Source organism: Homo sapiens, chromosome 3, assembly GCF_000001405.40.
Source record: "Homo sapiens chromosome 3, GRCh38.p14 Primary Assembly".
Lineage (NCBI taxonomy): Eukaryota > Metazoa > Chordata > Mammalia > Primates > Hominidae > Homo > Homo sapiens.
The window spans coordinates 1,287,062-1,300,518 of NC_000003.12; the positions used below are offsets into that span (position 1 = coordinate 1,287,062).

General features: G+C 37.3%; 1 protein-coding gene across 23 annotated transcripts in view; it reads left to right on the forward strand.

The window, feature by feature from the left end:
* The window catches only part of CNTN6 (contactin 6), a 311,194-nt gene that overhangs the window by 194,038 nt on the left and 103,699 nt on the right, over window positions 1-13,457 (forward strand). For 18 of the 23 annotated variants that reach the window (XM_011533590.3, NM_001349351.2, NM_001349354.2 and 15 more), the window contains 2 exons: window positions 8,540-8,743; window positions 10,828-10,930. The exons of 2 other annotated variants lie outside the window; for them this stretch is intronic. In XM_011533590.3, coding sequence (XP_011531892.1) covers window positions 8,540-8,743; window positions 10,828-10,930 — 307 coding nt within the window. The remainder of the gene's footprint in view (window positions 1-8,539; window positions 8,744-10,827; window positions 10,931-13,457) is intronic. 3 more of the 23 variants (NM_001349362.2, NM_001349358.2, NM_001349356.2) reach the window with 1 other exon arrangement.

Consider the following 13,457-nt stretch of genomic DNA (forward strand, 5'->3'; position numbering starts at 1 on the left):
TTCATAAAGCACGTTCTTAGAGTCTTACAAAGAAACTTAGACTCCCACACAATAATAGTGGGAGACTTTAACACCCCACTGTCAATATTAGATCAACAAGACAGAAAATTAACAACGATATTCAGGACTTGAACTCAGCTCTGCACCAAGCAGATCTAATAGACATCTACGGGAGTAATTCTTTATTGGAAGAACTGCTCTGCACGTTGTTAAGATGTTTAGTAATATCCCTGGCTTTTACTTACTAGATGCCAATCGCACTGCCTCCTCCAATTGTGGGAAAATTTGTCTCCAGATATTGCCAGATAACTTCTAGAGGGCAAAACTATCCTTAGTTGAAAACCACTGGTACAGCCCATCTCTTACATTCACTGTATTAAGTTCACCCATAAAAGATGGAAATTGGGAAGAAAAAGAGAAGTCTAGTCCTCATATATTTGTATCCTATGACTTGCTTGGTCTCCCTAAGAATTGGAGGTTTCCTAGCAATTCACTCAGAAGCTGGCTATGAGATAAGAGTCGGTAGGACTGGCTTTGCAAAGTACAAGTCAAAAAGAGCCCACTGACAAAATAAGATGTGGTAAAGAAGCCAGCCAAAACCCACCAAAACCAAGATGGTGAAAAAAGCTATCTCTAATCATCCACACTGCTCATTATATGCTAATTATAATGCATTAAGGTGCTAAAAGACACTCCCACCAGCGCCATGACAGTTTACAAATGCCATGGCAACTTCTAGAAGCTACCCAATATGGTCTAAAAGTGTGAGGAACCTTCAGTCCTGGGAATTCTCCTCCTCTTTCCCAGAAAACTAATGAATGTTCCTCCCCATGTTTAGCATATGAGCAAGGAATAACCACGAAAATAGCCAGCTCTGAAGTAGCCACTGTTACTTATTCCTCTACTTTCCTCATAAACTTGCTTTCACTTTACAGTGTTGGCTCGGTCTTGAATCCCTTCCTGTGAGAAGCCAGTAACTCATGTGGCCTCCCAGGCTGAACCCCAGTTTTGGGGTTTGCCTTGAGACAGCTGTGTTTTCGTTCCTTCTCCAAGTAGGTTTGGCCAATGTACAACCAGTTCTATAGTTATTTGGAACTTAGCAATATTAGGAACCCATGAGACCTTTATTTAACTGTCATTCATAGGCCGTAAAGAACCACCATCTCCTTGATTCCAAACAGTAGATGTGTAAATCAGAAGGGATCCAATAAAATCCAGGTGATCAAGCAGTAATTGTGGAACGAATGGGAATTCAAATAGGAGTGGATTTTAAAGTGTTAGGCACGTTTCTGGATTACATCGTAAACTTCCTCAGCCTAATATCAATGACTTCAGTCCAGAAAAGGAATTATTCTTCTTGGATTAGGTTTTTGCCACTGAGCTAGCATAACCATGATTGACCACCCAAGAGTCAGTCACATTTAACCCTGGAGCACTACACAAGGTTTGCAGTAAAGTACACACATTCTGGAATATTCCAAAGGGGGGATTTACCCAGTAAATCTGAACACTATACTTCAAGTTCTTTATTCTACTCATTTATTTTCTGCCTCAGGAAACATGCTATCAATTTTGAGATCTGTTCTAAAGTGCCAATAGAAGTTGTCAGTATCAATGTTTATCATGATGCTTCTCTTTCACATGAGATATTTTTCCTCTAATAAAAATTACATGCTATATAATGGGTATAATTGCATATATCTTTCTTGTTTGTATTTTAAATATTACAGTACAAGATATAGGGCTGTAAAAGATGTCAAAACATAATCACACTCTGGGGAAAAGAGGATTTGTTGTATGCTTGAGAGAGCAGCAGATAGAGTCTTCAATTGCTTACTGCAGATCTGCCATTTCTAATAATAATAAAATTGTAGAGGACGAAGTCATTGTGAAACTACAAAAAAATGCTTCAGGAAGGACCAATTATCATTCAGCTCTAATGCTACTGCTGACTCATCACAGGGAAAATGCATCACAACCGTTAATAACCGATAAATGTCATAGATGGTGGAGAAAATATTTAAAAATTCAATGGTTTCAACCTAAATGGCTCATGAATTATACATTTAATTAAGAAAAGCCAAATGGGAAGGTTTTTAAACTTCCAGTTTGGAAGGTTTTTTTTTTCTTTCCCCATTGAAAGATACACAGATTAAGCACAGCAGTGGCTGATGCTGGAACAAAATAGATAAAAGCCCCCAGTGCAGGCTGGCTCTTCAGATGACTGGGAGGAGCCAGCCCATGGGGAGAAGGGAGCAGGGCAGGGTGAGAAATACTATGACAGCAAAGACTTGCAGCTTTACATCTTCACCAATTCAGAGGGCACAAAAGGGCACCTGGATTGTACTCCCAGAGCTGCTGCTAGCTCTATTCCCCTCTGCTTCTTCACTTGTAAAAATGAAGTGGTTGGGCTGGCAAGTCTCGCAAATCCTTGCCATCCCAGACGTTTTATGAATGTATAAACTAAGAGACAGCCTTTTCTCCAGACTCCAACACACCACTCAAACGCAAATATACAAGGTGGTCCACCATTCAAAATCCAGGCGTTTCCCTTCCCAGTGTGATGATGCAGAGGAGACTGAGTTTTATCTTTTGTTTTGTTTTGTTTTTTTGGGTTTTTTTTTTTTTTTTGAGACAGAGTCTCGCTCTGTGGCCCAGGCTGGAGGGCAGGGGCGCGATCTCAGCTCACTGCAAACTCCAACTCCCGGGTTCCCGCCATTCTCCTGCCTCAGTCTCCCCAGCAGCTGGGACTACAGGTGCCCAACACCACGCCCAGCTAATGTTTTGTGTTTTTGGTAGAGACGGGGTTTCACCGTGTTAGCCAGGATGGTCTCGATCTCCTGACCTCGTGATCCGCCCGCCTCGGCCTCCCAAAGTGCTGGGATTGCAGGCGTGAGCCAATGCGCCCGGCGAGTTTTATCATTTTTATCAATGATTTCCAAAGGGTAGCTCCAGACCCCCCAGTGTCATTGTCACCTAGGAGCTTGTTAGCAATGCAGATTTCCTGGCTCCTCCCCAGACTTACTGAATCACAGAGTCTGAGGGTGGAGCCCAGCGGCTTGTGGTTTAGCAAGTCTACCAAGGGGTTCTGATGCATGGTGAAGTTTTAGAACCTCTGCTTCAGAGAGGCCCATTTAAGAGGGAAAATTCAAGTTTTTATATCTGTTCTACTCCCTGCTAATATTAGCAATAAGTACTTTACAGTAATTTCACATGGCAGTTTAACTTATTTATCTATGAAGTTCTTAAGAAATTGGACGCAGGACAGGAAATGTTAATGGGGGAGGGAATGGACAGTGAGGAACATTTGTCTTAGAATGTGAGTAAGGTTGGTTACTTGTGGAGCTTGGGAGTTTTGAAGGAAGGCTAAAGGTGAGGAGGACGAGCTAAGGAGAGGACATGAACATAGAAAAAGAGGATCAATTGTAAAGACATTGAAAAGTAGAAAGCTATTGTTATGGGAAAGGGGTTCAGATCCGGACTCCATGAGAGGGTTCTTGGATCTTGTACAAGAAAGAATTCAGGGCGTGCCCATAGATTAAAATGAAAGCAAGTTTATTAGGAAAGTAAAGGAATAACAGAATGGCTACTCCATAGACATAGCAGCCCTGAGGGCTGCTGGTTTTCCATTTTTATGGTTATTTCTTAATTATGTGCAAAATAATCATTATATACCTCCTGGTTTTAGACCATATAGGGTAACTTTCTGATGCTACCATGGCATTTATAAATTGTCGTGGCGCTAATGGGAGTGTAGCAGTGAGGACAGCCAGAGGTCACTCTCATTGTTATCTTGGTGTTGGTGGGTTTTAGCTGGCTTCTTTACTGAATCTGTTTTATCAGTAAGGTCTTTACGATCTGTATCTTGTGCTGACCTCCTATCTCATCCTGTGACTTAAAATGCCTTAACTTTCTGCAAATACAGCCCAGTAGGTTTCAGCCTCATTTTACACAGCCCGTATTCAAGATGGAGTTGCTCTGGTTCAAAGGCCTCTGACAGTATTATTAGGGAAAGAGCAAAGATCTGGCATCTGAAGGATCTAGGTTCAAGCCCTGCTCCTCCCACATGTTATGAATACAATTTTGGGAAATTACCTTTATACTGTTAGTTCTTGCACCCTTAGCCTCATAAAGCAGTTGCTGGCATGATGAAATAAGTTTTTTTCTGAATTTATTATTAATCTTTATGTAATCTTCCCTATTTCTGGATTAGATTCTTCCAGCAGCTTCTAAATATCTCACTATTAAAGAAGGACACACCACATGTAGGAATAGATTGGCAAGTTCTAGCAGCTAAGGTAAAAATGAATTCACCAGGGGAGAGAGGAAAATTACAGTCTCAGGTCCCAAGATTACAGGTTGAAGAATACAAAGATTTCTTGGGCACTAGTGGCAAACTGTAATTTTTGTTAAGTGAAAGGGGTGACATTGGATTTCAGAGAGCTAAAGCGTATTTCTCTCCACAAATAGGCATTGAATAAGGATCCGTAAGCTGAGACATGGCCCTGGGAATTTGCTCAAGATTGTCTTTGTTTCACAAAAAGGTTCAAAAGATGAGGAGTCAATGACAACAGGGGAATCTGAACTACATTCTTTCCTTCCTCTTTATATTGAAGAAAAATTTACTCTCTAGATGACTCTGATTTCAAACAAAAACCTTTGAGCATCTCTTTGGTGGAGACAGCAACAGGCTTAGAAGTGAGGCAGCAAAGGACGTCAGTAAAGAAACTGAAGCAAGAGACCACATGGTATGATGAAAGACTCCAATAGAGACTTGCAAAAGAAAATAAAGACTCAATACATGAGAACAGCACGAGCATCTCAAAGCATTTTTCAAAAATTAAAAGCAAATTGCATTTATGCATACTTGATCCAAAAGTATAGACTCTTAGGGAGATCAAAGGAATGTTGAGGCTGAAGGAAACCATTCGTAGAAGCTTAGGTTTAACCCCCATCCATCGTCAAAACAATTTTTTTTTGCTACATCCCGAGTAGTGTTCATCCATACTCTGCTTGATCATGTCTAATGATAAAGAACTCACTACCTAGTAGATCATCCACTGCTATCCTTCTCAAATTTAGACTGTTCTTCATTATATTAAATCTAACAGCATTCTGTCACCTCCAGCAGCCACGAGTCCTACTTTTGCCTTCTGGACATTGATAGAGAGGGTTTTATTTAACTTTTTATGCGTGTGGCAGCTCTTCAATGTAAACAGACAGCTGTAATATGCTTCCAGAATCTTTTTTTCCAGAGGCAAAATCAAAGTTTTATCACTATGTTTTGTGACTGGCTTTTGCTACATTTTATTTTTTATCTCTTGATAAACTTGATATTTTTAATTCCTCTTTCAATAATGGGTGCTCCGAACAAAATATTTCAGTCAATTGCATGCGTCATTTGGAGGGTGTCGAAAACACAGATCCCATGATACCTGGCTCAGATAGAATAAATAAAACTAAATTGCTAAGAATTGAGTTAGCTATTTGTATTTTAACAAGCTTCTTTAGTGATTCTAATGTACATCAGGTGTGGGAATCAGTGCCTGCATAAAACATAAAACATCCATTTGAACGGTTCAGAGTAAGAATAAGAAATGTTATCCACCCTGTTTTTACAAGTTGCAGCTCATTCTAGTGTTTAGCCTTTCTGACACTCTTCTTATCCTGTTGATTCTTTCTTCCATTTACACAAAAAATGCATAGCAATTTAAAATTATAATACGACAGAAACACATTACAAAGAGAGTAAAAGCCTTTTGTATTTCCCTCCACTCACTCTGAGAAAACCACTGTATACATCTCCAGGTTTTTAAATGTAAGAATTTGCATAAACATATCACACACACACACACACAAAGTTCCCACACTCATAACATGCTTTTTACCTAACAATGCTGCTTAGGTTTTTTTTCCCACATGACACTACTTTTATGGTTTAATGACACTTTTTGCATTTTCTCACTTCATGCGCAAGTAGCATTTACTGTGCTCCTGCTGTTCCTGGTCTCATCTTTACTTTATTTCTTCTCCATTCCTGGGAACGATATCAGGGTTCTGTCTGCAGAGACAAATTTCTTTTTACTGACATCATTTATAAATTGTTGTGAGAAATTAATTATTTTGCTCCTCCCCACTATTAATAGATTAACTTTTTCCTTCTTTCTCTTTCCTTCCTTCCACATTTTCTTTCTCCTTTTTTCCTTTATTTCTTCCTTCCTAAAATCTCATTCCTTTAAGTATGGTTCATGCTTCATGCATTTTTTTTTTCTCGATGGAAGGGATGACAAAATGACAATATTCCCTCATTCCCATTTTCAAGAGTTTGTCTCTATAGATCAGATTTAAGTCCAAAATAGCTGTCAGTTTGTTTTGCCACCTTTTACTTTTGGGAATTTAAATTTAGTAAGGTTAGTGAAGAATGTTTCAGGTGGTCTCTTCCCAGCTGAGGAAGCCTACCGGAACATATCAGAAATAATTAGCTTCTTTTGTCTCTGCCATGTCTTGCTTCCGTGCCAGTTTTTAATGTAAGTACAGTTGGCAAATAGCAACTCAGCTCTCTGTTTGGACAAGAGGCTCCAAGATGCATAAACTACTCCCCTGTGAACTATAATTCAAAAGTGTATGAGGGTCCATCCAACTGAAGACTTTTTTTGAGTTAGTTGCAGTATATTCCCCTTCTCCACCCTGAGTACCTATATACTCCACCTATTTTGGGGATCTCCTTTGGACCAGCTATATTCTTCTACTTCCCTAGACATAGTTCTACTCTACCTAGTTTCCGCAGTACACCTAATGTCTTAGCTTCAGGAAGAATTATATTCACCAAGCTTTAATACATATGAATATTTGCTTTTGCTCAAAGATTTCTGGCTAAAACGAAAGAAATTGACAGCACATGATTTTTGTGAGGTTATGGGACAACTGGAACTCTCAAATATTGCTGGTGGAAGTATAAACTGATACAACCACTTTAAAAAATTCTTTTGTCATTTCTTATAAAGTTACACTTACATCTACATTATGGCTTACTCCTAGGAATCTAACCAAGAAAAATAAAAATGTATACAGACAGTCTTAGACAAGGATGCTTATTTCCACCTAATACATAATGACCTCAATCTGGAAATAATCCAAATGCTCATCAACAGGAAGGTGTCCAATCAAATTATGGTATATTCATAAAATGAAATACTATCCACAATATAATGGAAGAAAGGGCTTATAGTCATGAAAACAATAGGTGAACCTTAAAATTATGTTAAATGAAAGAATTCAGACATAAAATAGTACATTCTGTTTGTTTTATGATGACATACAAATGACAGCAGAAATAATCTATGATGATAGAAATCCAGTAGTGGTTGCAGCAGTAGAAAAAAACAGGGGAGGATTTCTGAAGACCTGGAAATCTTCCTCATTTTACTTGGGGAAGGATGGTTACAGGGGGTATATAATGGTCACAAGTGATTAAACGGAACACAAGTTCTGTGCATTTTAACATATGCTCATTATGTCATTTATACAGTTACCCACAAGATTTCCAGAGATGGACTGATTGATGTTCAGTAAAAACAATGTGTGCCCTGTTTCATGTTTATGCTCTTGATAGTTACTCGGAGAAATGCTTGTCGACTCCTCCGTCACTTGGATAGCTCTAGTTTATCGTGCCGGTTTCAAAATGGAATTCCTTCTTAGAAGTCTTTTCTGATGACACATCATTCTAGGCTCCTTCTCTGGGCTCCCTATAATGCCTTTGTCAAAGCATATGTTATCCTTCATTGAGATTACTCACATTATTGGCAATTAGCAGTAACTGGTGTGACCTTTATAGGGCACAGGTTTTGTTTGGTTTTACACTAAGACCTAAAACTGTCACAGAATAGCTGCTTAAAATTATGTAATAATCAGGCCAGTGCAGTGGCTCATGCCTGTAATCCTAGCACTTTGGGAGGCTAAGGCAGGAGAATGACTTGAGCTCAGGAGTTGGAGACCAGCTGGGGCAACATAGTGAGACCCCATCTCTTTAAAAATAAAAAAGAAATTATGTAATGATCAAATGAGTGAACTTCAAGGTCTGTGGTAGACTTCTTGAACTGAAATTTTTAAGTTAAATTTTTAACAAGTACCTGTAAGTATGTTTAATTCTTCTGATAATGCACTGAGAAACACTGCTTTGAAGCAGCATAAGTTTTTCCTAAGGAATTCAGTGTACATTTGGAACAGTTATTATTTTATACGTCTTATGGTATTTCTTAATAAACTCATCCACTTATTTCCATAACATCCTATTGTTATATCCTTAATCCCAAAAAGTCAATGATGGGGAAAGTGCCCACATAATTTATCGTCCAATCTGAGCTATATTTCAATATAAGGGAATATTACAATTACACCAGATGACAGCTATCAACTGAGCAAATAGAGGCACAATTTTCTCCTAATTATGGGGAAGTAAGACAAAGAATTTTCAGATATGAATGAATGCAGTAAGGACAGTATGGTTTTGTTTTGTTTTGTTTTGTTTCTTGTTTTTCAGATTTATCTTATGCATGGACCTTCAATGATAACCCCTTATACGTCCAAGAGGACAATAGGCGATTTGTATCTCAAGAGACGGGAAACTTGTACATTGCCAAAGTGGAACCATCAGATGTGGGCAACTACACTTGCTTTATAACTAACAAAGAGGCCCAGAGAAGTGTTCAAGGTCCACCCACTCCATTAGTGCAGCGCACTGATGGTAAGATAATGAGTTATCTTGGGAATGTACTTTATCTTTGGCCCTTAAAGCCTGGGAAGATTCGTAAAGCTTTCTGCTTCCTTCTTGTTTGGTGGAGCCAAATTACGAGTTTAGGTTCAATTCACAAATATGTAAACCAGAAATATAACAGAAAATTATCTAATTCACCCACATGGTGCAGTAGACATGGTTCTGGGTATACCAAGCCATCTCCTTTCTGGCATTGAAACAGCTTGTCTTTTTTTTGCTTAAAGACTGTTTTGTAAAAACAAAAACGATGTTCCGGGGAGTTGGCGTGTGTGTATGTGTGCACGTGTGGGTGCTGCCAAACATATAACTGAATCAATATATTTTTAATGAACATATGTTGCAGCTACTTTTTAATGGCCCCTTTTTTCCATATTTGCCCTTTTTTTGTTGTTCACCCTTTATTTACGTGGCTGGCAAAATGGAGGGAAAAGTTCATATCCAAGGAAAGCAAAGCAAACCAACATTAATTATGAGCATTCCAGAGAAGAATGAAACACAAGATTTATACTAATTATATTCCTCCAAGGAACATAATTCACACTAGTCTCTGACGAGCTTTGTAGCTTAGTCAAGTCATGGCTGGTACAAGATTTAGAGAGCCAGAAAGTTTAAGGAAGTCATTGAAGTGGAGAAATTCTCTAGTTGTTTTTTTAATTAAATGTTCACAGTGGGATTCATACAGGTAGAAAATTTGTTGGTGCATTTTATGATTGTATTCAGGACTTGAAATGCAATACCTCGTGGAGTTTTTCTCCCCTCTGAAGAGTTGAAGAAAAGCAAGAATATAATGCTAATGAAGCATAACAGAATTGTGGAACAAGTCCCATAGAAGGAGTTCTTATAATAGAGCTTTTATAATCACTAACCACCCAAATGTATTTGCAAGGTCTTCACTAAGATTTCAGCAACCATTAGACTTATTCCTAAGTCCAATTTATCTCCTTCAATGAATACTACTATTTATGACCAGAAGAATTCATGAGCCAACAATATACTTGGAGATTCTACCATGTTTTTCCTTTTTTTGTTTCCTGTCTACTCTGAGTTTCTGCTTCTTGCCTTCTTAATTCCTTCCTTCTTCTATCCCCTCTATTCCCTTGAATACATTTACAGGAAAAATAGAGCAGAAGTATTATATATAATATAAAAATCAAACCTATTTTAAAAGTGAGCAGGTAGGAAATATCAGATGTCAAGAAAGTGAAAAAGAATAAAACCTACCAACTTAGTTGAATGAAGTAGTACTCACTACCTTCTCACCATAACCTCTTTGAATGTTTATAATGATCAAGTCTTAAAAATTAAGTATTTTTATTTCATATATATTTTGTAATTTTTACTTTTTCTGCAATTATATTGACCACCAACAATGTATTTATTTTAGAAATGTATTACTCTGTCGTTTGGTACATAGATTAAAAATGATCAAAGTATTTAAATAATCTTGAGATGTCACTGATTAAATTAATTAAGTTAATGAGAATAGCCTACAGATATATTTCTGTTACAACTCCTCTGGTAGGCAGTGTATTTACAATAGGTTATACCATCATCTTATCTTGGCACATATCCCCAATTCCTTGGATTGAAAGTTTTAAAACTTAAAACAAATTCGTATAGGTATACAGCAAACTTAGCGGCAAAACCTTATTGTACTAATATGTGAATATTTACATTTTTATCTCAATTAATGTGATGCCTTTATATGTTCTGCTGCAGAACTACTGTTATTTTGGACTAAGACCTACTGCAGTGGACTTCTACCAGTGTTAGCTGAAAACATCCCGTTGTTGTTGTTTTTTTCTTTTTTTTTTTTTTTATTAATCAGATCTGGCTCTCTGAGTTCCCTGAAAGGTAGATAAATGTGGATGTCACTAGAAAAGTGTCTTTTTTGAAAACACAGAAGCATTTTAGAATCTATATGTATCCAATTCTTAACTGAAAACCCTAACTCTTATTAAGAAGAAATAATCAGGTTTTGGTTAATGAAGCATTTACTTCATAGAAAACTTCTATTCTCCAGAAATGCTGCTAGCTCTTTTGATATTTAACAGGTGTGATGGGGGAATATGAACCAAAGATTGAAGTGCGTTTTCCTGAAACTATACAAGCTGCAAAGGATTCATCTGTAAAACTGGAATGTTTTGCCCTTGGAAAGTAAGGTTTTTGTTTTTGTTTTTGTTTTCCTGGTTGCATTAATTTTTTTTTATTAAAAACCTTTTTGTTATTCATATATTGCTCTAAGGTAAATTACCAAGTAGATTTCAAATGCTGGGCAACAGTGGAACTTTCTGATTTGAATTTAAACAAACATGTCTAATACTGAGACAATGACCAGGCCTGTAACTGAAAATGATCAGGGCTGCAATTCTTCCCTACAGGTGCTGATATTTCCTTAGTTTAAGCATAATGAGACCCATTTAGGCAGCACATTGCAAGGGAATAAGTGCACTCGTATAAGATGATGGGCAAGTCACTAAACCTTCCACATATCCTTCACTCCATCTTGTCCTACATCCAGAAATACATTGCCTGGAGTATTTCCTTGCTTAATTAACCAACAATTCTGATAAATAAAAAACCACTGCTTGTTTCCAAAATAAGACTAATTAAAGTCCATTGTTCATAGTGGGTAATTAGAATTGAGCCCAACCTTCCCTGATAGTGGAGGCATTTTGTTTTACTCAGATAAGTATTTATTAGGAACAGGTTTGGAATACTTTTAAGCCAGGAAAATACCTACATTTTTGCATGGGATATCTAGAACCCCTCTTTGCTTTTTGGAGGTATACAAATTTCATTTTTGTGCCTATAAACACCAGAAAAAAAGAAGGAGACAGATAGACTAGACTGTCATTTTCAAATGTTAATATGCATGTGAGTTACCTGGGGACATGGTTAAATTCATATTCTGACTCTAGAGGTCTAGGGTGATGTTTGATTCCTCCATTTCTAAAAAGCTCCCATATATTAGTCATGCTTCTTGTAAACAGAACATACTTTGAATAGTAAAAGACTTGACTGACTCAGAGGTAAGCTCGGAGGGCTTACCTCTAAATCCAAAGTCTATTCCTAATGTGGCCCTCACATTTAGAAATAGTGACTTAGTCTCCAAATTCTAGAAAACATCCTTAAATGTCTCAGTCATATTATTAAGTTAAACATACTCAGCAATCCAAATAATGGTGGTTACTAAATCTTAGTTTGTTTTCTATAGATGGAGTTTTGCATATCTTTGAATGAAATTTCTCAGAATAGTCATTTCTCATGGATTTAAGAGACCGTATTTTATTTTCATAGAGTATGGGTCTCATAGCATTTATCAAATAAATAATTATTGATTGATTAAATGATTCTTAAGAAAGTGACAAATAGGGGCTTTACATCAGTTTTTAATTGTCTGCCTTTTAAGACATAATGAACTTTCACCATTTTCAGGCTTTTTCAGAAGTTAAGGTTTATAAAAATATTAAATGTCATCAAATTCTTTGATAATTAGATAATTAATTTTAAAAGAAAACCAATGAAAGAGAGTATCTGAAAAGAATATTAATAGCTTATTTAATCATATTTGGCATCAGGAAATATAGATTCCTGAAATTAAAAAATGGTCTTCCACAATAAAATAATTGAAAATGTTGAGGCTATTTCTCAAGAATCTAATGAAAATAATTTCATTTGCTAAGCACCTATAACTAAGCATTTATGATACAATATATATAATTGTCATAATCTTGCAGGGCAAGTTACGTTTTCATTACATATGAGAAACTGAAGCTCAGATTGGAGAAGTAACCTGTTCAATCTTATGTTTCTATTCAGAGGAAGCAAGCAATTCAAACCCAGGCCCACCTGATTTTAAATTCTGAATTTAGGAACTTCTAAGTAAATAGTAAGAGAACTGCTTTTGAAATCCTGGGAGACAGATTCAATTCCCAATTTTCTGAAGAGTTATTTGATTGTTAGCAAACGTGCTTATAATCTCTATGAATTACCATATTTTCATCTGAAAGGAGTTATGATGATTCCACCTTGTATGTTTGTTGTGAAGATTAGAATGGATAATACATGTTAAAACATTAAGACTTGGCATTTATGTAATAAATGCTCACTGAATTATTCTAAAACCAAAATCCAAATTTCATTCTACTTTTTTTTTTGAGACGGAGTCTTGCTCTGTTGCTCAGGCTGGAGTGCAGTGGCTTGATCTCAGCTCACTGCAAGCTCTGCCACCCGGGTTCCCGCCATTCTCCTGCCTCAGCCTCCCAAGTAGCTGGGACTACAGGTGCCCGCCACCACGCTAAGCTAATTGTAATTTTTTTTTGGTATTTTTAGTAGAGATGGGGTTTCAGCACGTTAGCCAGGATGGTCTCGATCTGCTGACCTCGTGATCCGCCCGACTCAGCCTTCCTAAGTGCTGGGATGACAGGCGTGAGCCACTGCGCCGACCGCATTCTGCTTTTATATAAGCAATGTTTGAATTAGTGAGGATGCCCAAGGGAGAGTAGGTGTCTCAGAGGGGGTATGAATTCTCATCTTTCCCAGCCCAGTCCTGTTCTCTCTGTCTCAGGATTGATGACAGTATAAGAGAGAAAGGAGCAATTAGGGTCAGTTCAGGAAGGAAGGAAGGAAGGAAGGAAGGAAGGAAGGAAGGAAGGAAAAAGAAAAGAAAGAGAAAGAAAGA